Genomic DNA, 24,782 nt, shown 5'->3' with positions numbered 1-24,782 from the left:
TCACAGCTAGTGGCTGGCCAACCTCATTTCCCAATCTGTGTTCCCAGGGAACACCTGTGTCTTTGAGGTCATTAAGAGCTCTACAAAAATGAGGGTTCTTTGGTGGCTACATTTGGGAAAGGTTGATTAAACTAAGTGACACAGGGGTCTTTGCACTGTGGCATTCCTGTGGGGCTTGTGAACAGTGTTTCCTGGCCCAGGGAGCCCTTTCTTTTTAGGGGACAGAATTGACCCTCTCTCAGGAAACTTTTGGGGAGTTCATCATCCTCATTTCCACAACTTCATTCAGTGCCAGAGTAAGTGGCCTAAAAGTTACCTGGTCTGAGTCCTTAGCTGCAGTTGCCCAGTGCCCGGCAGCTGCTGCTGTTGGGGGCAGCTTGGCCCATCACTGTCAGCTCTGGCTCTTAGGCAAAGTCAAAACAGGTCTCCCTGTGGTTGACACCCCTGGGTCCTGCTGTTCCCCATTTTGGGGCCACGGAGAACATGCCCTATTTCTTTTCTGTGTGCTGGCTCAGAGTGAGGCCCTGTCACCCCGTGGTCTTCACTGGCAGTGGGCCGCGTTCACACCAATGCTCCTCTGCAGCCCAGCATCCCTGCCATGACCAGTCCTGGATCATGGGGACCAGTCCTGGGACTACCTGGGGTAGCCCCCACACAATTATTTCTTTTGTGTCTCCCTGGGGCACTCCTGGGCCTTGCGCCTCTTCTCCCTTCCAAGCAGAGCCCCTCTCTGTTCCCTCTCTGCCCCAGCATATCTCGAGAGGGCAAGAAACAGGTGTGTCATTTTGACGTCATCCCCATCCTGGTCCATCTGCTGAAAGACCCAGTGGAGCATGTGAAGTCTAACGCTGCCGGTGCCCTGATGTTCGCCACAGTGATCACTGAAGGTGAGGCGGTGGGGGGTGCCGCAGGGAGGGAGACCCTAGCAGGCTAGCAGCCGTGATGAGCTTTCTGTACTCAGGGGCTGGGTATCGTCCCCCAAACTCCACACTTTGCAAAAAAAAAAAAAACCTCCCCTTGGCCTATCACTGATGTCCTTTCAAGGTTGGGTCCAAGGCCCAGCCCTCCCTCTTCTCCCCAGCACAGTGGCCCCTCACCAGTCACTCACATTAGGACCTCTGTGCCTTCGCACCAGTCTGTTCCCTGGGCCTGGAATTCCCGCCTCCCACCCAGGCCCCTTGTGAGCTGTGACTCAAGGGTTGATTAGTTTGCCATCCATGATTCTGTTACCCTGAGGTCTAAGCAAACCCTGGAGCCCTTGACTCTATGGTGTTTATTCATCCTAATTATTTTTCTTAAACTGGAGGAGGGGGCAAATTCAGAATTATCTCCCCCGAGCCCCCTACCTTGGGACTCCCAGCCAGTCAGGCTTCCCCTCTAAGTCACCCAACCCTGGGCTCATGGAAGAACCCTGGGCTGTTTCCACACCTGGCAGACTGGGGCGTGGCACTCCCAGGACCCCTGAAAGCATTTGACTTTCCCTCTGGCCCCTACACACCCACCAGCCTGGGGCCCTGTGCTTCCTTTGAGTTCCATGGAGGACCATCTGGGCTTGGATTTGCAATCAGCCTCCCAAAGACAGGTCCTCCCAGGCCCTGCACACCTGACCCTAATGCTGCTTGAGGTATGCAGATGGGAGAGGTTGGGGCTTTCTTGGAGTCCACAGCCCCTCCTTTTACTGGTGTAGTCAGGATGCTGACTGCACGGTGGCAGGGGCTCCCCCTGCGTGTTTATCTTGGGGCAGCCTCAGCCCAGTGTCCTTCTCGGTCCAGGCTTTCTGTAGGAGTGCTTGGAGGGCCACGGGGCTCGAGACACAAGAGGCTGAGACCCAGGGAGATGAGGCCACTTATTCCCAAGCTGGCACTCCAGCTGAGGGTCCTGAAGCCCCTGCCACGTGCCAGGCCCTGGGAGGCAGTGATGAGGGATGTGGAGGAGAAGCCCAGCATGGGTGGGGCAAACACAGGGGACAAGTCGCCTCTGGGAAGGGCTTGGGATCAATCCCAAGGACAATGGGAGTTGGCAGGGCCCAGGCTGAGAGGTTCCACCAGCAAAGGGGAGAGTCCACTGGGCACTGCAGGAGCATAGGGCCGGCAAGGACAGCAGAAAGGGGCAGCGAATGGTTGAGGAGGGCATCTCTCAGGAACCATGTGTGTTTTGTGCAGAGTAGGTGCTCAAGAAATATTGGCAACATATATGAACTATTGGGTTTACTTTTTTTTTTTTTTTGAGATGGAGTCTCGCTCTGTCGCCCAGGCTGGAGTGCAGTGGCACCATCTTGGCTCACTGCAAGCTCCGCCTCCCAGGTTCACGCATTCTCCTGCCTCAGCCTCCTGAGTAGCTGGGACTACAGGCGCCCGCCACCATGCCCGGCTAATTTTTTGTATTTTTAATAGAGACGGGGTTTCACTGTGTTAGCCAGGATGGTCACAATCTCCTGACCTCGTGATCCACCAGCCTCGGCCTCCCAAAGTGCTGGGATTACAGGCGTGAGCCACCGCGCCCAGCTGGGCTTACTTTTTTTAAAGAGCCAGTGTCTCAGTGTGTCACCCAGGCTAGAGTACGATGTCACGATCACTGCAGCCTCAAACTCCCAGGCTCTAGTGATCCTCCCCGCTCAGTCTCCTGAGTAGCTGGGACTGTAGGCACCTGTCACTACATCTGGATAATTTTTAAATTTTTGTAGAGATGGAATCTCATTATGTTGCCCAGGCTGGTCTTGAACTCCTGGGCAGGATACGAGGGTGGATGGAGAGGAGCCAGTTGAGGCCGGAAAGGCAGGAGATGAAGAGGCCAGGCCCAGGCCGGACTCAGCGAAGGTGCAAGAGCCCTGAGGGTGAGGGCATGTTGGTGGGGCATAAACCAGGCATAAACCCCTTGAGACTGCACAAGGAGGAGGGTCAGGAGAGGGCTAGGGTGAGAGGGGGTGAGAAGAGGGCCCCTTGGGCTGTTTGGAACGCCTTGTGTTGGTGGCCTGCAGGGAAGTATGCGGCCCTGGAGGCACAAGCCATCGGCCTGCTCCTGGAGCTGCTGCACTCCCCCATGACCATAGCGCGCCTGAATGCCACCAAGGCCCTTACCATGCTGGCAGAGGCCCCCGAGGGCCGCAAGGCCCTGCAGACGCACGTGCCCACTTTCCGTGCCATGGAGGTGGAGACTTACGAAAAGCCTCAAGTGGCCGAAGCCTTACAGCGGGCAGCCCGGATCGCCATCAGTGTCATCGAGTTCAAACCCTGAGCCCTTCATTCACCTCTGTGAGTGAATAAATGTGCTAAGTCTCTTTATCTCGGGTCCGAATGGCACTTTCTGTTCCTGGAGCACAGTCACATCTTTTCTTGCTCTCCTGCCAGAGGGGAAATGCGAGGCCCAGAAGCACCGGGTCTGGGTGGCACAGGCTGAACCCAGTGCGGGGAATGGGTGGGAGGTGGCCTTGGAGTTGTGCTCTCTCTCCTGGGGCCAAGAGTTCCCCTCAGAAGGTAGAGAGTAGGGCTGAGCCCTCCAGAGACAAGGCTGGGGGCAGGGACTTGGGCTGGGGAAGGAAGGAACCCAGATGCGCCAGGCACCACCCAGGTTTCAGAAGATCCAGTGATTGACCCCTGGGGTGTGGCTGGGTGTGGCTCTGCTCAGCCAGGTCTGTCCCTTCCCCACCCTGGGTGATGGGAAGGAAGGTGATAGGTGAAACCCCATGCAGGTTCTTCGTGGAGAAGGTGACTCAGTCATAGAGGCTCCCCCAGGGATGAGTGCTCAGGACAGGGGTAGATTCTGGTTTCCTCGTTAACGTCTTACCCCAAACAGCCGCATTCTTCTCCAAAGCAAGGAAGTCACTCAAGCACGCCCCCAGGTTGGCCTGAAGCCCATCCCACCCTCCATTCTCTCCCTTTGGGTGTATGTGGCCCCCAGGGCAGCCCTCTTCTGCCTGTGCCTTCATCTGGGCTCCTTCCCTGCAGTGAAGGTGACAAGCAGGCTGGGAGCTTAGGCAAGGAGAGAGAGGTGGGCTGAGAGGTGGAGGAGGGGAGAAGCCCAGCTTCAGGGGGCTATGGGGCATGGGGCTGAGGTTGGGGAGTGACTGGGAGAGCTCCTTAATCTCCTCCTACTCATCTCTGCATGGTCTAGTGAGGCAATGGATCTCCTCGTTTCGGGGGAGAAGCAGCCTGTCCTGGCCTCTGTTGGAGGAGATGCTAGAGCAGAACTCAGCTTCCGGGCTGGGCCCTTTCATCTGGGTCTGAGCTGGAGCCTTACTCTTTCTCCAGGAGCTTTCTGAGGCTCTCTCTCTCTCGAAGGTTTCCCTCATTCACATCACCCCTTGGCAGTCATATTTCCTGTGAGGTGCCCACTCCTCCCAGAATAAACCTTTCAGCAAAGCCAGAATCTCAAAGGGAGCCCCTTCTTGCAGTCCTTTCAGTGAGCCCCAGGGGCCCTCACTTTCCCAGAAGAAACACAGGGAAGTTATTGTCCTTGGAATCACAGGATGAATCCAAGTAGGGCCTCTTGTTGTGGAAGGGACAGGCAGCTGGGCCCAGCTGGGGTTTCAGGTTCATCCCCATTCTCAAAAAAGCTGCCCCTAAGAGGGCCGGGTGCAGTGGCTCATTCCTGTAATTCCAGCACTTTGGGAGGCTGAGGTGGGCAGATCACTCAAGGCCAGGAGTTCAAGACCAGCCTGGCCAACATGACAAAACCCCCTCTCTACTAAAAATACAAAAATTAGCTGGACATGATGGTGCACGCCTGTATTCCCAGCTACTTGGGAGACTGAAGCACGATAATCACTTAAGCCTAGGAGGTGGAGGTTGCAGTGAGCTGAGATCATGCCACTGCACTCCAGCCTGGGTGACAGAGTGAGACTCTGTCTCAAAATAAAACTTTAAAAAAGGCCCCCTAAGAGGAAACCTTTTCTCCTTCAGGAAACATTTCCTCATGTCCATTTCCTCATGTTCCAGTCCTGCCTTAACACAGCAGGCTGGCTCTACCCCTTCCACAGGCTCTGGCCAAGATCATCAAACTCCCTGCTGCAAGACCCTGTGCTCTTGGTCTCCTCTGTAGAACCCTCTTTCTTTACATGGCTAGTGGTGCTGATGCTTCTCATGCCTCTGTTCTAGGCTCTCTCTTCTCCCACTTTCCCTGTGCAATCTCATCCGCCTGGCTTTGGGCTTTCTCTACCAGGTTCCCTTCTGAGCTGGGCCTGATCTCTCTCCCCTGTCTCCCCCAGATCTGGGACTCCAGCCCCAGCCTCTCTCCTGAGTTCTGGATTCTTATGTTCAACTTAACATCTACCCTTAAATGTCTCCAGGCAAGAATTAATACCAATCTTTCACAAACTGTTCCAAAAAATAGAAGAGGAAGAAATATCTCCCAACTCATTCTATGAGTGTAATACTACCCTGATACCAAAACCAAAGATATCAGCTGGGCACGATGGCTCATGCCTGTCATTCCAATGTCTCTACAAAAAACACAAAATTAGCCTGGTGTGGTGGTGCGTGCCTGTAGTCCCAGTTACTTGGGAGGCTGAAGCAGGAGAATCACCTGAGCATGGGAGGTCAAGGCTGCAGTGACCTGAGATCACACCACTGCACACCAGCCAAACAAACAAAAACCACTCAAAGATATCAAAAGAAAACTGCAGACCAATATTTGTTATGATTATAGAAACAAAGACACAACCAAATATTAGCAAACCAAATTCAGCAGCATATAAAAAGCATTATACAGCATGACCAGCTGGGATTTACCCCAGGAATGCAAGGTTGGTTTAGCATATGAAAATCAATTAATGTAATATAAGATATAGGTAGAATAAAGGACAAAAGTCACATAATCATCTTAATAGATGCAGAAAAAGCATTCCACAAAGTTCAACACCCATTCATGATGAAAAACAAACTCTCAGAAAACTAGGAAAAGAGGGTAGTTTCCTCAACATAATAAAGAACATCTGCAAAAACTCAGCTGACATTATATTTAATAGCAAAACCTGATTGCTTTCCCCTGATATCAGAAACAAGACCTCTCTATACAGCATTGTACTGGAGGTTCTAGTTAGGCAGTTAGGCAAGAAAAAGAAAGAGCATACAGATTGCAAATAAATAAAGGTAAATTCTGTATTCACAGATTACATGATTTTGTATAAGAAAACTCCCAAGGAAGTACACTTAAAAATGATTAGAACTAATGAATAAGTTCAACATGGTTGCAGGATACAAAATCAATATACAAAAATTAATTGTATTCCCAAATACTAGCAATGAACCATCCAAAAACAAAATTGAGAAAACAGTTTCATTTACAATAACATCAAAAAGAATAAAATACTCAGAAATAAATTTAGCAAAAGGAGTGTGAGATTTGTACACTGAAAACAAAATAGTGTTGAAAGATGTTGAAGACTTAAATATATGGAAAGACATCCCATGTTCATGGATTAGAAGACTTAATATTATCAACATGGCAATAAACATCTTCATGCAGCTCAAATTCTACATATCAGAAATGAGTTCATCTTTTCCCCATACCTGCACTTACTCTTCATTCACCTTCATTGAATGAAGCAGGTGCCCCCTTCATTCACCTGCTCCAGCCAGAGAGTCATCCCTGGCCCCTCCCTCCAAAGGTCTCCACCTCTTTACCTCTCTGCCACCAACTTGCCTGCTTTGCTCTAGCAGTGTCCTGGTGGGTGTTCCTGTCTCACTTTTATCTTCCCAGCAGCAGGAAGCAAATCTGATCCTATCACTTCCTTGCCTACACTTCCAGGGACGTAGGCCCCCAAAGCATACAAGGCCTGCTGGTCAGGCTTCCGACTCCCTCCCTCCCACTGTTCTCCATGCACATGCCGTATCTCAGCATCCTCAAACATACCTTGTACTCTTGCTGCATGTCTTCTCACACATGTCCCTTCTGTTATCCATCCAACTGATTCCCTCTTTCCCTGACTCTGAGGCTAGATGGAGGTTTCTGCTGGATTCTCTTGCAGTGCACACACTGCATCCTGTGAAACGTGGCTAATTCTTGTCCCTCCACAAGGGTGGTTCTGTGGCTTGAATATGATAATGCACTTACCCTGGGCTTGCCTGAAGACAGCAGGACACATGAAATGCTGGCTATTGCTGTGATTGCTTATTTTCCACCATACACCATATACTCCAGAGAGAAGTTCCCCTGTGCTTTGTTCACGGTTATTTTCTTCGAGCTCGACATGGTGGCTGGCACATATTAGACACTCAAAAGTGTCAGCTGAAGGATTAGAGAAAGGATGAGGGCTGGTCATGTGAATATACCTTCAGAGCGTGATTCTCATGATGAAATAACTTCAAGGCACCTGGAACTTTTCCTAAAGACACAAATCATTTATTTTGGACTGGGAAGAAGAAAAGTGAAGGAGAGGTTTAGGGAACCCCTATGGAAACACGGCTGAGGAGTGTCCTCTATCTGATAGCTCAAGTGGATCTAACCTAGGGGGCCAACTCCCAAGAATGTCACGATGCCAGGCAGGCTGTGAGTGTGACTGGGGAGAGCTGGCCTGGAGGGAGTTTCTTCTTAATCTGCCCTCAAGGGATGCAGCACAGCAGAAGCTAAACAGAGTTGAGTGGTGGGGAGGCCTGTTCTATTAAAGCAGAGCCTGCCTCAGTCCCACTGAGGTTCAGGCAGGGGCCAAAGCTTCCATCCCTGGCACCTGTTTCCCCATGGCCTGTGTGGTCATCAGTGCTGGAGAGCACCTACAGGTGAGATTCCCTTGCAGGGGTGGGGTGGGGCTTCCACAACTCGGCATCTTGGCCAGCAGGGACATACCTTGGAAAATAAGGAGAGAACCAAGCAATGGAAGTTGGGTACATGAAAGAATTGGTGACAGTGAAGTAAACACAAGCAAAAATTCCAAATATATATAGAGATGAAAAGCCAAAATTAAATTTAAAGTGAAAGTGTTTATGCAGTGCAGCCATTTGGAGAAAATGACTCATTTTGTAAAGGAACAGATGTTCTCATTTGCATACTTTCTGTAATGGCGAATGGACTTTGCTCTGTCCTGCCACACGGCATGTGTGTGCTGCTGCTGGTAGCCCTTGATGCATGACACCAAGGGAACATTTTTATTAATGTAATCCTTGGTCCCAGGCCCATGGGTCTCCCAGTAGGAAACGCTTTGTCCCTGTTCATGATGATCCTGGAGAAGCAGCAGCTCTGCCTCCTCCTGGACGGCCCCAGCCCAGCTGCTTCAGGCAAAGTAGATGACGCCAAGGACCTTGAGCATGATCAGGATGATCCCACTGATGCCCACAACTCTCCTCCAGTAGGGATTGTCTGACATGTTGCCCCACTCTGTACCTTCCGTCTTCTCAGCAACCTCTACTTTCTCAGTTGCCTCTCCCAGGGCCAGCGCCTTTGCACTTTGCAACGTGTCACCATGCTCTACCTCCTCTGTTGCCTTTGCTGGGGCCACTTTGGGGCCCTCCTGACTCCAGTCCACAGAACATGTCCCAGATCATCCAGGTGCAGCTCTTGGTCTCCTTGCCTACATCTAGAACAGAGGGAATAGGCAAAGGTCAGGAGGCAGGCAGGCCATGGCACAGGAGGGAAGCCTGTGTAGGGACTCACAACATCTCAGCCTCCACGAGTCCAGTGTGAAGACCCATGGGCTTACTCTTAATAAGAAAGAACTGACCTTAGCATGCCCAGATCCCTGTAACTGGCCGGCGGAGGTGGTGTTACAAGAACTTGACCCTCCCTGGGGTGCTGCAGTAATTGCTCACCCTTCTCTGTCCCTATGGGTCTAGGGCAGATGGTCCCTGATCCTCTGAACATTTCACCTCTACGCTCCAAACACCGCTCTTTGGAGGACAGAGGAAGCCCTTTGAGTCATGGAAATAGGCACCATTCTCTTTGGCAATCTCTTGGGGAGTGTCTTCTCGAGGCAACTCCCAGTTTCACTGCACTTGGCCCACAGTAAGGCTGTCCTGGGGCCCTTGAAGGCACATTTTTGGTGCTGTCCAGGAGGAGAGCCTAGAAATCACAGGGAGGTTGCCATTCACTTCTCTAGGCCAAACTAGGGGAAACACCTAACTGAGGGGCTTGAACATCACCCAGATGTCCATGCAGCGCTGGCCTGTCCCCTGAGGCCTGCTTACCTGGCTTAGTACCATGGTCAGCTCCTGGGAATCATTCCCTCCTGGAAGATGAGACGACCCTGTGTTCATTCAGATCAGGCTCCCAGCAGTGTGCATTGTGACGTCTTCTGGGTGTCATCCTGCTGGGCAGCCTCCATGCCAGTGTCTCCTGTGTTCCCACCCCTGCAGCAGAGGCTGAGGAGGAAGCAGAAATGAAGGAACTCATCAGACAGGGACAGAGGAGCCTCTGTTACAAGGGGAGGGGCAGGAACACAGATAGCCTATGCTGGGACTGAGAAGTCCTGAGGACCACATCCTTGCCTCTATTCTCAAATGCCCATTAATTATACCATTATCAGCCTCTGGGACCGAAGAGGTGTGGGAGCCAGTCTGGAAAAAGCAGCTGGTCATTCAACCCCACAGCCCAAAGGCACAAATGCCATCCCACACAGCAGTTAAATGAAGTTTAACCTAAAGTTGCCTCCTTACATATTTTAACGTTGTCTTAAAAGTTTCTCTACATAATGAACTATAACCTAAATGGAGGTGTAAACAGACTGTAACCTACTCTTGTGCCAACCACTGAGTTTTGTCCAGTTAAAGGGGGCCAATTGTTCAAACCATGTTCAAATAAGGCAAATGCTAGGCTGTACCCAACCTGGCCATTTCTTTACCTCACTTTTGTTTTCTGTATGCCACTTTCTTTTTTCTGTCCATAAATCTTCTTCCACCATGTGGTTGTACTGGAGTCTCCCTGAGCCTATTCTGGCTCAGGAGGCTGCCTGATTCATGAATTGTTCTTTGCTCAATTAAACTCTGTTAAATTTAATTTGTTTTTAATTTATTTTTAATTTTTTTATTTCCATAGGTTATTGGGGAACAGGTGGTGTTTGGTTATATGAGTAAGTTCTTTAGCGATGATTTGTGAGATTTTAGTGCACCCATCACCTGAGCAGTATACACTGCACTCAATTTGTAGTCTTTTTTCCCTCATCCCCTTCCCACCCTTTCCCGCAGAATCCCCAAAGTCCATTGTGTCATTCTTATGCCTTTGCATCCTCATAGTTTAGCTCCACTTATGAGTGAGAACATACAATTTTGGTTTTCCATTCCTGAGTTACTTCACTTAGAATAGCAGTCTCCATTCTCATCCATGTTGCTGCGAATGCCATTAATTCATTCCTTTTTTATGGCTGAGTAGTATTGCATTGTATGTATAAACCACAGTTTCTTTATCCACTCATTGATGGGCATTTGGGTTGGTTCCACATTTTTGCAGTTGCGAATTGTGCTGCTATAAACATGCATGTGCAAATATCTTTTTTGTATAATGGCTGATTTTTCTCTGGGTACATACCCAGTAGTGGGATTGCTGGATCAAATGGTAGTTCTACTTTTAGTTCTTTAAGGAATCTCCACACTGTTTTCCATAGTGGCTGTACTAGTTTACATTCCCACCAGCAGTGTAGAAGTGTTCCCTGTTCACTGCATCCACACCAACATATATTATTTTTTGATTTTTTTTATTACAGCCATTCTTGCAGGAGTAAGGTGGTATCACATTGTGGTTTTGATTTTCATTTCCCTGATCATAGTGATGTTGAGCATTTTTTCATGTGTTTGTTGGCCATTTGTGTATCTTCTTTTGAGAATTTTCTATTCATGTCCTTAGCCCACTTTTTGATGGGATTGTGTTTTCTTGTTAATTTGTTTGAGTTTGCTGTAGATTCTGGATACTTGTTCTTTGTCAGATGTATAGATTGTGAAGATTTTCTCCCACTCTGTGAGTTGTCTCTTTACTCTGCTGACTGTTGCTTTTGCTGTGCAAAAGCTCTTTAGTTTAATTAAGTCCCAGCTATTTATCTTTGTTTTTATTGAATTTGCTTTTGGGTTCTTGGTCATGAAATCCTTGCCTAAGCCAAGGTGTAGAAGGGGTTTTCTGATTTTATCTTCTAGAATTTTTACAGTTTCAGGTCTTAGATTTAAGTCCTTGATCCATCTTGAGTTGATTTTTGTGTAAGGTGAGAGATGAGAATCCAGTTTCATCTTCCTACATGTGGCTTGCCAATTATCCCAGCACCATTAGTTGAATAGGGTGTCCTTTTCCCACTTTATGTATTTGTTTGCTTTGTCAAAGATAAGTATTTGGGTTTATTTCTGGGTTTTCTATTCTGTTCCATTGTTCTGTGTGCCTATTTTTATACCAGTGCCATGCTGTTTTGGTGACTGTGACCTTATAGTATAGTTTGAAATCAGGTAATGTGATGCCTCCAGACTTGTCCTTTTTGCTTAGTCTTGCTTTGGCTATGTGGGCTCTTTTTTTGTTTCATATGAGTCTTAGGATTGTTTTTTCTAGTTCTGTGAAGAATGATGCTAGTATTTTGATGGGAATTTCATTGAATTTGTAGATTGCTTTTGGCAGTACGGTCATTTTCACAATATTGATTCTACCCATCCATGAGCATGGAATGTGTTTCCATTTGTGTCATCTATGATTTCTTTCAGCACTGTTTTGTAGTTTTCCTTGTAGAGGTCTTTTACATTCTTGGTTAGGTATATTCCTAAGTATTTCATTTGTTTGCAGCTATTGTAAAATGGGTTGAGTTCTTGATCTGATTTTCAGCTTGGTTGCTGTTGGTATATAGGAGAGCTACTGATTTGTGTGCATTAATTTTGTATCCAGAAACTTTGTTGAATTCTTTTTTCAGTTCTAGGAGCTTTTTGGAGGAGTCTTTAGGGTTTTCTAGGTATACAGTCATATCATCAGCAAACAGTGACAGTTTGACTTCCTCTTTACTGATGTGGATGCCCTTTATTTCTTTCTCTCATCTGATTGCTGTGGCTAGGACTCCCAGTACTATGTTAAAGGGAAGTGGTGAGAGTGGCATCCTTGTCTTGTTCCAGTTCTCAGAGGGAATGTTTTAAACTTTTCCCCATTCAGTATTATGCTGGCTGTGGGTTTGTCAGAGATGGCTTTTATTACATTGAGGCATGTCCCTTGCATGCCGATTTTGCTGAGAGTTTTAATCATAAAGGGATACTAGATTTTGTTGAATGCTTTTTCTGCATCTATTGAGATAATCATGTGATTTTTGTTTTTAACTCTGTTTATGTGGTGTATCACATTTATTCACTTGCGTATGTTAAATCATCCCTGCATCCCTGGTATGGAGCCCACTTGATCATGGTGAATTATCCTTTTGAAATGTCATTGGATTCAGTTAGCTAGTATTTTGTTAAGGATTTTTGCATCTATGTACATCAGGGATGTTGGTCTGTAGTTTTCTTTTTTGGTTACATTCTTTCTTGGTTTTGGTATTAGGGTGATACTGGATTCATAGAATGATTTAGGGAGGATTCTCTCTTTATCTTGTGGAATAGTGTCAATAGGATGGTACCAACTCTTCTTTGAATGTCTGATAGAATTCAGCTGTGAATCCATCTGGCCCTGGACTTTTTTTGGTTGGTAATTTTTAAATTACCATTTCAATCTCGCTGTTGTTATTGGTCTGCTCATGCTATCTAATTCTTCCTGATTTAAGCTAGGAGGGTTGTATCATTCCAGGAATTTATCCATCTCCTCTAGGTTTTCTAGTTTATGCATGTAAAGGTGTTCATAGTAGCCTTGAATGATCTTTTGTATTTCTGTGGTGTCAGTTGTAATTTCTCCCATTTCGTTTCTAATTGAGCTTATTTGGATTTTCTCTCTTCTTTTCTTGGTTAATCTTGCTAATGGTCTATCAATTTTATTTATCTTTTCAAAGAACCAGCTTTTTTATTTATCTTTTGAATATTTTTGTTTCAATTTTATTTAGTTCTGCTCTGATCTTGGTTATTTCCTTTCTTCTGCTGGGTTTGGGTTTGGTTTTTTCTTGTTTCTGTAGTTCCTGTGGTGTGACCTTAGATTGTCTGTGCTCTTTCAGATTTTTCAATATAGACATTTAGGGCTATGAATTTTCCTCTTAGCAGTGCCTTTGCTGTATCCCGGAGGTTTTGATAGGTTGTTCACTGTTGTCATTCAGTTCAAAGAATTTTTAAATTTCCACCTTGATTTCATTGTTGACCCAATGATCATTCAAGGGCAGGTTATTTAATTTCCATGTATTTGCATGGTTTTGAAGGTTCCGTTGGGAGTTGATTTCCAGTTTTATTCCACTGTGGTCCGAGAGAGTGCTTGATATAATTTCAGTTTTCTTAAAGTTATTGAGGCTTGTTTGGTGGCCTATCATATGGTCTATCTTGAAGAAAATTTCATGTGCTGATGAATAGAATGTATATTCTGTGGTTGTTGGGTAGAATGTTCTGTAAATATCTGTTAAGTCCATTTGTTCCAGGGTATAGTTTAAATCTATTGTTTCTTTATTGGCTTTCTGTCTTGATGACCTGTCTAGTGCTGTTAGTGGAATATTGAAGCCCCCCACTATTATTATGTTGCTGTCTGTCTCATTTCTTAGGTCTGGTAGTAATTGTTTTATAAATTTGGGACCTCCAGTATTAGGTGCACATGTATTTAGGATTGTAATATTTTCCTGTTGAATAAGGCCTTTTATCATTATATAATGTGTCTCTTTGTGTTTTTAAACTGCTGTTGCTTTAAAGTTTGTTTTGTCTGATATGAGAATAGCTGCTCCTGCTTGCTTTTGGTGTCCATTTGCATGGAATGTCTTTTTCCACCCCTTTATCTTAAGTTTATGTGAATCCTTATGTGTTAGGTGAGTCTCTTGAAAGCCACAGATAGTTTGTTGGTGAATTCTTACCCATTCTGTGATTCTGTATCTTTTAAATGGAACATTTAGGCCATTTAAATTCAACATTAGTTTTGAGATGTGAGGTACTATTCCATTCATTGTGCTATTTGTTGCCTGCATACCTTGGTTTTTTTGCTTTTTATTTGTATTTTTGTTTTATAGGTCCTATGAGATTTATGCTTTAAAGAGGTTTTATTTTGATGTGTTTCCAGGATTTGTTTCAAGATATAGAGCTCCTTTTAGCAGTTCTTGTAGGGCTGGCTTGGTAGTGGCAAATTCTCTCAGCATTTGTTTGTCTGAAAAAGACGGTCTTTCCTTCATTTATGAAGCTTAGTTTCGCTGACACCTTTTTCAGGCAGATTGGGGATTTCTTGGTTTGGATCCACTGCTGATGAGCTAGTGTGATTTTTTGGGGGGTGTTAAAGAACTTGTTTTGTCATATTACCAGAGTTGCTTTTCTGGTTCCTTCTCATTTGGGTAGGCTCTGTCAGAGGGAAGGTCTAGTGGTCAAGGCTGTTGTTCAGATTCTTTTATCCCACAAAGTGTTACCTTGACGTAGTACTCTCCCCCTTTTCCTAGGGATGTGATTTCCTGAGAGCCATACTGTAGTGATTCTTGTCTCCCTTCAGGATCTAGCCACCCAGCAGGTCTACCAGGTTCCTGTCTAGTACTGGAGGTTGTCTGCACAGAGTTCTGTGATGTGAACCATCTGTGGGTCTCTTTTTGTGGATACCAGCACCTGCTCTGGTGGAGGTGCCAGTGGGGCGATATGGACTCTGTGAGGGTCCTTAGTTTTGGTTGTTTAATGCACTATTTTTGTGCTGATTGGCCTCCTGCTGGGAGGTGACACTTTCAAGACAGCATCAGCTGTGGTAGTATGGGGAGGATCAGGTGGTGGGTGGGGCCGTGGGGCCTTCGAACTCCAAAGCGTATATGCCCTTTGTCTTCAGCTACCAGGGTGGGTAGGGAAGGACCATCAGGCGAGGGCAGGGCTAGGCATGTCTGAGCTCAGACTCTCTTTGGGCAGATCTTGCTACGGCTGCTGTGGGGGATGGGAGTGAGGTTCCCAGGTCAATGGAGTTATGCTCCTAGGAGAATTGTAGCTGCCTTTGCTGTATCATGCAGGTTGTCAGAGAAGTGGGGGAAAGCTGGAAGTCACAGGCCTCACCCAGCTCCCATGAAACCCAGAAGGCTGGTCTCACTCTCACCGTGCCCCACCCCACAACAGCACTGAGTCTGTTTCCACGCAGTCTGCGAGCAGGGCCAAGAACTTTCCCCAGGCTACCAGCCCCCAGCTGCGAAAGCAAGTAGGGCTTTTAGGCTTCCCTGTCTGTGGAGTCTGCACACTGGATTGGCGCCCTCCCCTGAGTTCTGGCCAGGAGACTTCCTGTTTGGTTGGAATTGTTGCAAAGTTCAGCTGGAGGTTTCCTTCTCTCTGTGGCCTTTTCCCAGTTCCTCTGGCAGCCCTCTCCAGGTAACCCTGTGAGACAACTCAGAAATGGCTTCGCTGGGAACCCAGAGAGCCCACAGAGCTTTTCCCACTGCTTCCCCTACCCCCGTATTTCCCTCGGCTCTCTAAATTGACTCAGCTCCAGGTATTGTCAGAATCTTCTCCTGTGATCTAGACTTCAGGTTCCCCAGTGAGGGTGTGTATTCAGGGCCAGATAATCTCCCTTTCTCACTCCCACAGTTTGGGCACTCACGGTAATTGGGGTGTCTCCCAGGTCCTGCAGGAGCAATCCACTTCCTTAAGAGGGTCTGTGGGTTCTCTTGGCTTTCCTGAATTATTCTTGCAATAGTTCTAGAGACTCCACATGCTGCTCTGGTCCGTTTGAGTGAAAGCTGCTATCTAGTTCTTCCTCCTGTCTGCCTTGATCCTCAGGAAAAAAAACCCATAAACTCTGTTAAATTTAATTTGGCTAAGGTTTTTCTTTTAACAGATGGTGTCAGAAGTGGGATCTGAGCTAGAACTTCTAGTAACCCCCAAAGTGCCAAGTGAGCAAGCAAGTTACCCACTGTGCCTGTTGTTTCCATTGCTCTCTCACAGCAACTGGGGATCTTGGTAAGTTCTCCCTCAGATTGTGAGGCTCCACAGATTTGCTCAGAGATTTGAGTTCTCTGAGTTTGTTTGAGCAAATTTTTGATCAACACTGGGTTTGGAAGTTCTGACAGAAACTGAACTGAGTCTACAATTGGATTGTATCTGATAATTAACTGGCTTGGATACAGTTAGGGGCCTCTTTTGTCTGACTGGGTCAGAAAGAAACCAGTAGCAGATGGCAATATTGCAGGGGGTGTAAACTTTGGCTTTTGGAAGTCCACAGGGATTTTTGTGTTTTCTACTTCCTTTGTTTCTTTTTTCCTGTACACTTAGGTATGGAAAAAAATCACTGACATAGTTGCTTGAGGGGACCTGAGAGCCAAAGTCAATATTTGAGGTAAAAATGGGATCCTTTATTTCTAAAGAGCTGAGTACCTTCTGGCTAATCTGTGTATCAGTATTAGGCCCTAGAGGGTGCTAGTAGTAGCAAAGGCTTACAGAAATGGCATTTTTTTTTTTTTTTTTTTTTTTTTGCTAGACAGAGTCTTGCTTTGTCGCCCAGGCTGGAGTGCAGTAGTGCAATCTTGGCTCACTGCAAGCTCCGCCTCCCAGGTTCACGTCATTCTTCTGCCTCAGCCTCCCGAGTAGCTGGGACTACAGAAATGGCAAAATCTTACTAAAGATAATTTAAAGTTACAGTGAAATGTTCCAAATGAACAACCCTGCACTTGAAGAAGTGCATTTGAAAATGAGGTCTCCCAATATAGTCTCATCTAGGGATGTCTATTGATATGCAGAAGCTTCTAAAAAGATTGCAATATTTTTATTTAAAGACTTTTAAAAAGGCAAATAAAAAGCTTAAGTTACTAATAGATACGAAAAATTAAATCTGCTAACCTTTTGGCTTAGTTGCTATGCTGCCCCAAAGGTGAAATGAAAGATATCCTAGATAAAGTATTTATAAAAGGTAGACCCTCAGTTAAAATAGCCTTGCTTCTTTTTCAGATCTATTCATGCTAAGTCCAGGCATACAGAATGCTCTCTTTGCCCTATTCCTTAAGAGGCTCCACCCTGAATTTAGTAATTTTAGCTAAGAAACAGTAGATAAGTTAAAAAGAACACCAACTGAACTAAAATACACCTTTCTGGAATTGAAGTGGCAATCTTAAAAGCCTTTTGTAAAAGAAATTTACATCTATAAAGGAAACCTCCATTTGTAAGGGAGTCTGCCTATGTACAATAGAAACTCTTGCCGTTGTTTTAAATTTACATAATAAGTCATGCCTTTGCTTAAGGTGCTTTTCTGGCCACTTTATCTTGATCAACTTTCACTTATGTACCATTTTTTCCCTCGATTTGAGCAAATGATGATACAATATTTATGCCTAAAATCTTAGCTCTGTGCTTATGAAATATAATTTTTTTTTGTTTCATGTAAGAGCTGTCCCTTTAGAAATGCAAATTTGTTGCCTAGTTAACAATTGCTTAGGGCAGTGAAACAGATAACTGGAAGATTTATAGTCTGTATGGGGGAAAGAAAAACTATTTGAAATCTGTCAAATAAAAATCCTTTATGGAAGCTATAAGATCTGCCTTTGTGTGTTTGTATGTCTATATGTGTTATGTGTATGTGATAATATTTGATAAATAAAGCTGGTTTATTTTTGGCGAAACAGGAATGAGTTCACAATTATCAGTTAAATATAATTAGATACCTGCTTGACTTGACTGTGAACTTATGTTTTTTTTTGGTTTAGAGCCTCTGGATTTAGGGATGTGAATAAGTGTCCATGATGAGGTCTGGAGACATGTTCTCAGTTCCCAGACCAGCAGCTACAAGTCAGAATCAAGCCAAATGTGACCCTTCTTCCCTGCTTTCCCTACTTGCCTACTGGCTATTTTGGAAAGGGGTTGGATCCTCTAGGCACAGTCTTTACAGCTGTCTTCTGTCCTGGCCTCTACACCTGGTATGTAAATTCAGGACTCAGACAGGCCCTGACCTTCATAGTCCTCCTTGGTACTACATGGTTACTTGAGACCCCAGATGACCTGGGGGAGATGTTATGAGAGCCACAGAAGTTCGTGCCATTTGCAGTGGGGAGGAGCCTGGCCCCTCCTCTTCCTGGGTGGTACCTGGGATTCAGTTTGTGAGGTGGGAAGCACACTAGCAGAACTCTGGCTTTGTGGAGAATCCCTGTTTATCTTTTTTCCTTTTCACTCAATAAACCCTGCCATCCTCATCCTTCAAATTGTCTATGAGCCTAATTTTTTTGTGGCCGTGTGACAAGGACCCCCATCTTTAGCTGAACTAAGAGTTCTACAACAATTAGGGATGGTACTTGGGTTATAGTTTCAAAATTCTTTTTAGTAATTAAAAATCTTAAAGTCATGTTATGCCAAAGTAACAGATAATCACAAAATGTCTGAGTCATTTATTACTTAAAATACTGAAATATTAATTATTATTATTATTTTTTGAGAGAGTCTCACTCTGTCACCCAGGCTGGAGTGCAATGGTGTGGTCTTGGCTCACTGCAACCTCTGCCTACTGGGTTCAAGCAATTCTCCCTCCTCAGCCTCCTGAGTAGCTGGGATTACAGGCACTCACCACCATGCCTGGCTAATTTTTGTATTTTTAGTAGAGACAGGATTTCACTATGTTGGCCAGGCTGGTCTTAAACTCCTGACCTTGTAATCTGCCTGCCTCGGCCTCCCAAAGTGTTGGGATTACAGGCGTGAGCCACCTTGCCCGACCTGAAATATTAATTATTAAACAAGAGTTTAAGCCTATATACCTTGACATTTTTATTAACATGGTATAGAAAAGCCAAACATATTTAGATCTGTTAATAAACAGTAATTTGAAGAAACATCTTTCTAAAAAATTGTAATTTTTTCTACAAATACTAATATAAAACAGTTCAAAATTACTTTTTGGTTGGAGTGGTTTTCACTAGAAATTAGGGTTATTAAGAGTTAAAATTATAGTTAATATATGTAATTAAAAATACTAGATATGAGAGAAACAATTCTGTATAAAGACTATCTAAACAAAAGTAAGTTATGCCTTGATTAGGAAGTTTTAAAGGCATAAAAATGTGTTTGTTAAAAATTTTTAGTTTGAAGTTACTAAAGATTTCAAATTGAGGAGTAAAAAATAGATAAAACCAGATAAACATAGAAAGTTGGGGAGAAAACGTAAAGCAAAAGGCTTATGAAAATCTTGTGTAGTTAAAAATGACAGATTTGATAAATTTTTATAAGATTTTATAAAAATTAGCTTTAGTGTTGATAATACACTAATACAAAAGTAAAATTTGGTTTTCTCTTTTGAACAAAAATATTGTGTAGTATCAATAAGGCATAGTAAAATATTTATGTTCATCTTTTAAGTAAACAGCAAAAAGGAAAAAAAGAGAGAAGAGAAGAGACAGATTCTATCTCATGGGGTCTTTCTCAGGTCTCTTGACTGTTTGGAAAACTGAGTATCCTCTATCAAAGAGTGTAGGTTTTGGGTTTAAAAAAATCTTTTAATTATCACTTTGGCTAAATAAATGACTATTATTTTATGGTAGCCTGTGATCTTATTTGGTTACATGTTTTAAACCTTTGACATATTTTACAGGCTTCCCAAAATCAAATTTCACCTTCAAAATTAAGTATTTTTTATCTTTAACTTTTGGATGATAAAAAAGGCTCCTGAAGCATCCAAAAGAAAGATAAATAGAATTATTTGACATGTTAAACTACATGGGAGGCATTGTCAAATAAGAAATAATGTTTAACCTTCTTCAAGTTATATTTTAGTGACTATGTTATTAATATATATTCCAAAATTATATGGCGTTTATAGAATTCTAATGTTTGGGTATATGCTATCAGTCATAATTATGGTTATTACGTTAAATTATTATAAGCCACAGAAATAACCAAATTTCCTTGTAAATTGTCTCTTTAACTATGACCATTTAAAGTTATTTCCACAGTTAATTGCTTAATTCTGATGCAGTTTCTGAAAACTTCACAAGCACACAAAGTCTTAGAATATGGTGTCTTTAAGGAGTTTCATGAAGGGATGAAAAGGACCCTGACAAACACTCTCGAATACAGGTTTCTGATAACTTTCAGATCAAATCATTTGGACTGGGTAAGAATTCCTGAACTCTAATAAAGAGACTGACTGGTTTATAAAACTGCTACCCAAGCAGGAAAAAAATTGAATACCAAGAAGGTACTTTGCCAGATTTTTATGCTAAATCAATTAATTGTTTAGATACGCAGTTCAAATGAATTCCATGGTCCAGGTCAAATTACCTATGATAACCTATCAGTTATCAGTGCTATGCACCTACACTGGAGAAACAGCTGGTATGTAAGAGGACGTAAGTTCAGTGTTAAGTGTGGACTCATGGAGAACCTGGATGCCCACCTCATCCTTCCTGAGTCCTTAAAGCTTTTGTTATTAAAAGCTTTGCATTCCATGACTAATCGTGAAAGAGATAAAATGATTCAAATTAAATATATATATGTGTATGTGATGACTGTTCTAAATTGCTAAAATAGTTTATGACCAATATTTAGTTTGTCAAACCCACATTCCTGGAAAGATAATAAAAACTTCAGGTACATTTTTGCTACATGGAGAGTCATTTAAATTTTTATAGAGGGATTTCATTCCATTGTCATTTCCAGTGCATGTTTTCTGGTCGTATAAAAACTTTTCGTGCATGCAAGAGGGCTGATATAACAGTAGGTCATTATGCCAAAGTGTATTTTCAGGTAAAGAAAGCTTTTCATGGTCCACTGACAGGACAATCAACATCTTCACAATCTAGAACCTGAAGATTGAATTTTCTGAGAAAATTGGAGAAAGACTGCACTTGCCATCCACACTACAGCAAAACTTCCAGATCTTGAATCTTGGGTTTTTAATCTCACAACTCATAAGGGCCCCTCCAGACTCTTGGAACTGTACATCCATTGGAAACCTTAGGTAAAGCTAACCAGGGAAGTTTCTCCCCAGAAGTAGACAGCATCCTTGATGAGGACAGCTTTTTTCCAAGATCATGAATCAAGACTTCTCTGCTAACATGAGACTCTTATCTTTCAATTTTTTCCTTGCTTATGCCTCTGCAAACAATAGGAGTGAAAAGGGGGTCTTTTGTGTGCACGCATGGGGTATACTTTTAAATGAAGAATTTTACAGCTAGCCTTATACATGGACAAACTTATGTCTTGATAGATGGAAGATAAAAGGCCAATGTAGGTAAGAAATTTTAGTGGCACATGTGTTGCTTCATAAGCAGTCAGAAGCAGAATATTCATTCACTCCTCTTAACCTATTGATGCATCACATGCTAAAGAGAACATTTCCACGATCCTTCATTCTTCTAGATGGGCATCATTTCTTAGGTCTCTTTTTCCATGGTTTGGAGTAAATGAGGCAATGATTAGAAATGTATCCCTGATGATAGGCTCTACAGCAGATTCTATTGTAAAGGCCATGGTTACACAGCAGGCTTGAAATTATCTTTTGAAGGCCAGGTGCAGTGGCTCATGCCTGTAATCCCAACACTTTGGGAGGCCAAGGCAGGCAGATCACCTGAGGTCAGGTTGAGACCAGCCTGGCCAACGTGGTGAAACCCTGCCTCAACTAAAAGTACAAAAAATTAGCTGGGCATGGTGGCGGGCGCCTATAATCCCAGCTACTCAGGAGGCTGAGGCAGGAGAATCGCTTGAAACCAGGAGGTGGAGGTTGCAGTGAGCTGAGATCACACCACTGCACTCCAGCCTGGGTGACAGAGCAAGACTCCATCTCAGTCAATCAGTCAATCAATCAATCAATCAGTAAATACATTCTCTTGTGAAAGTTATGCTAAATAACAGAATTTCTCTAGATTATTTACTGGCTAAACAGAGAAGTATCTCTGCAGTTGGTGGCACTTCTTGTTTCCTGTGGAGAAATAAATCAGGTATTATAGAGATTTGGTTGTAAGAAATGAATGAACGGGCTGCTTGGTTAAAGCGAGTAGACTCTTCATCTAGCTCATTCTTTGATCTATTTGGTTTTAGGTGGTTTGGTTTATGGGGACCCTGGCTAAGGAGCATACTCCAAACTCTGTGTATTATCCTGTTGATAGTCATAATAGTAGCCCCACTGGTGCACTGTATTCTCTCAAAAGTTTTAAATATTTGCTTGCAGCCATCTCTAGAATTTCAGATGGTGTCTCTTCAACTGGAATGACAAGAGCTCAAATAAATGTATGACCATGAGGGCACTGTAACCTATGAATGATGGGTTGAGACTGGAAACCCAAAATGATGGTAACTGAGAGTGGTGCTAAGGCTGTAAGTTTTGGTCAGACTCTCACCTATGTGAGAATGTGACCAAAAGGGAGGAATTCTTAAACGAGATTATGAAAGACCATTGTTTTAGACTGAGCTCCTGTACTAACCCCAACAGATCAGATCAAACCAAAATGGAGTCACTTATGGTAAACTTGATATAATCGAACTAAGACTTTAAAGATACAAATATATCAGAACAGACCAGGTTTTGTTTTTCTCCTGTAAACTGGACATTCCAGCATGAGGAGGTACTCTCTACTCTAACCCTTACAAAAAAATAATCTGATGTCCTTGTTCTCGCCTTACAAAATCCACTCTTCTGCTATTTCCGTAGGTTTTGAGACCAAATAAGTATGTTTACAATGGCGATAGTGACATCAATGACTACAGTTTTGGTCAATCTATCAAAATTGAGAGCATGACCGAAAGAGGGGAATCATTACATCAAATTTAGTCTAAAGCTTCCTCCTAACATATTTTTAAGTTTGCCCTCATAGTTTCCCTGTACATAGTGAACTATAACTTAAATGGAGGTATAAACAGACTGTAACCTACTCTGGTGCGGATCAGTGAGTTTTGGCCAATCAAAGAGGGCCAACTGTTCAAACCATGTTCAAATAAGGCAAATGCTGGGCTGTAACCAATCCGGCTATTTCTGTGCCTCACTTTTGTTTTCTGTGTCACTTTCCTTTCTCTGTCCATAAATCTTCTTCCATCAAGTGGCTGCACTGGAGTTTCTCTAAACCTACTCTGGCTCAGAAGGCTGCCTGATTCACAAATCATTCTTTGCTCAATTAAAGTCTGTTAAATTTAATTTGGCTGAGGGTTTGTTTTTTTTTTTAACAGAGTCTTGCTCTGTTGTCCAGGCTGGAGTGTGGTGGCACGATCTCAGCTCACTGCAACCTCTGCCTCCTGGGTTCAAGTGATTCTCCTGCCTCAGCCTCCCAAATAGCTGGGACTGCAGGCGCATGCCACCACGCCCGGCTAATATTTTGTGTTTTTAGTAGAGACGGGGTTTCACTGTGTTAGCCAGGATGGTCTCCATCTTCTGACCTCGTGATCCACCCACCTCAGCCTCCCAAAGTGCTGGGATTACAGGCATGAGCCACCGCGCCTGACATTGTTTTTCTTTTTAAACATAGCCAAGGCTGGATGATGGCAGCAGGACAGCCAGTGTGGCTTGGAGCCCACACTGTGGAGGGAGCCTGCTGTGTTGAGACCCCAGCTCTACACTGATTGTTTATCTATTGGGCCTGGGGCAAATTGATTAACTGCTCAGTGCCTCAGTTTCCCTAGCTCTAAAATCGGGGTAGTAATCATGCCTGTCACATATAGGTATACTTCTGACAGTTCCTGGTGCATCCTACTGAGAACAAGTGCCTTGTACATTGTGGGTACCCAGGAAGCCAGTTTACCCCCTCTCAGAGGAGAGCCATCAGCAGGCACTGAGGGAGCCTGGAGCCCTGCATCCTGCAGGTGCCTTGAGTCCTATGCCCAGGAGAAGCTGCTCCCTCACCCCACAGCAGTCTACAGAGCACCCACCCTGGCCAGGTGTACACTTCCCTGTGCAGGTGTCAGGAGGGAGCCATTGACTCTCTGGGCTCTGACTTTCTCTGGCAGGACTATAGGGAACCTAGAACCCAGCCTTCTCCCAGCCAGGCCCTCCCCTCCCTCCCGCAAACTCACAGTCTCCTCATCACTCTCTGCCTCAGATTCAGGACTAATCTCATTATGTCCTTTATCCCTGTTTGCGTCAGGGACTGCAAGAAGCTCAGGTCACCCTCCCCCTATGGCCCTGAACACTCCTTTTCTGACCCCATCTGCTGAAACCTTTCTTTCAAGCCTTCTGGAGGCCCCAGGGTCTCAGCCTGTTCCTGGAACATCCTCTCCCTTCTCGCTCGGACTGAAACCTAGCTCTCCCCAAGACCTGCTTCCCCACTCTGGGCGTCCTCCTATGTGGGACTGCTTTCCTCCCTCACTGTCCCTCATACCCTCACTGGAGTCGAACAGGTCCTTACAGACCATCTCCTTCTCCCGTTCTGAGGAGCCCTCTGGTTCCAAATCCCTGCACAGGCTCTGTAACCCAATTCCTCCACCCTCCCCGACACCACACCACCAGATTGCTCCTGTGGGGCACAACGTGGTCTCCATGTGTAGGAACCCAACTACCAGTCATCAGGCCTCATCTTTCTTCAGCCATCAGCATTTCCCTCAATGGATCCTCACCACCTCCCCCTCCCTAAAACATTTCCAGGAAACAAAGTACTTCTGCTTTTCTGCCCCTGCACTGTCTCTTCCACTTCCCATGGGGTGGCCCTCGTACCCCTTGTGTTTCCCTTATATGCACCTCTGGGAGCCTACCAGTGCATTTTCTGTCCTCTCCCATGCCCGTCCCACCAGCCCAGATGGTTCCACCTGGCTGTCTCATAGGTGCCTCCACTTGCCCTGAACACCCCCATGAGGTGTCTCAGGACAAGTGAATGCCTGGGCCCCTGCCTGGAGGGACATTTCTGAGGGTGCAGAGTGTGGGGCCAAGGGGTGCTGAGTACTGCA

The 24,782-nt window shown here is 44.7% G+C and overlaps 1 protein-coding gene across 9 annotated transcripts in view, besides 5 other annotated features; it reads left to right on the top strand.

Annotated features, from left to right (window-relative positions):
- Positions 1-3,281, top strand: part of RSPH14 (radial spoke head 14 homolog) — a 121,315-nt gene extending 118,034 nt beyond the window's left edge. For 6 of the 9 annotated variants that reach the window (XM_017028774.2, XM_011530150.2, XM_011530152.3 and 3 more), the window contains 3 exons: positions 751-887; positions 2,684-2,816; positions 2,978-3,281. In XM_017028774.2, the coding sequence (XP_016884263.1) occupies positions 751-887; positions 2,684-2,816; positions 2,978-3,263 (556 nt within the window). In that variant the 3' untranslated portion in view covers positions 3,264-3,281. Of the gene's footprint in view, positions 1-750; positions 888-2,683; positions 2,834-2,977 lie in introns of all 9 variants that reach the window. The other 3 variants (NM_014433.3, XM_047441334.1, XM_011530149.3) reach the window with 2 other exon arrangements.
- Positions 3,408-3,909: an enhancer, noted in NCBI's record as "H3K4me1 hESC enhancer chr22:23400965-23401466 (GRCh37/hg19 assembly coordinates)". NCBI's record gives its function as "activates a minimal SCP1, AML or CMV promoter by ChIP-STARR-seq in naive H9 embryonic stem cells {active_cell/tissue: H9 hESC(naive)}" and the evidence as "EXISTENCE:reporter gene assay evidence [ECO:0000049][PMID:30033119]".
- Positions 8,057-8,106: an enhancer, noted in NCBI's record as "active region_18744". NCBI's record gives its function as "activates an Ori minimal core promoter by ATAC-STARR-seq in GM12878 lymphoblastoid cells {active_cell/tissue: GM12878}" and the evidence as "EXISTENCE:reporter gene assay evidence [ECO:0000049][PMID:35858748]".
- Positions 8,117-8,256: an enhancer, noted in NCBI's record as "active region_18743". NCBI's record gives its function as "activates an Ori minimal core promoter by ATAC-STARR-seq in GM12878 lymphoblastoid cells {active_cell/tissue: GM12878}" and the evidence as "EXISTENCE:reporter gene assay evidence [ECO:0000049][PMID:35858748]".
- Positions 14,397-14,897: an enhancer, noted in NCBI's record as "H3K4me1 hESC enhancer chr22:23389977-23390477 (GRCh37/hg19 assembly coordinates)". NCBI's record gives its function as "activates a minimal SCP1, AML or CMV promoter by ChIP-STARR-seq in naive H9 embryonic stem cells {active_cell/tissue: H9 hESC(naive)}" and the evidence as "EXISTENCE:reporter gene assay evidence [ECO:0000049][PMID:30033119]".
- Positions 14,898-15,398: an enhancer, noted in NCBI's record as "H3K4me1 hESC enhancer chr22:23389476-23389976 (GRCh37/hg19 assembly coordinates)". NCBI's record gives its function as "activates a minimal SCP1, AML or CMV promoter by ChIP-STARR-seq in naive H9 embryonic stem cells {active_cell/tissue: H9 hESC(naive)}" and the evidence as "EXISTENCE:reporter gene assay evidence [ECO:0000049][PMID:30033119]".

This window comes from Homo sapiens, chromosome 22 (genome assembly GCF_000001405.40).
Source record: "Homo sapiens chromosome 22, GRCh38.p14 Primary Assembly".
NCBI lineage: Eukaryota > Metazoa > Chordata > Mammalia > Primates > Hominidae > Homo > Homo sapiens.
This window is presented reverse-complemented; position numbering and strand designations above follow the sequence as displayed.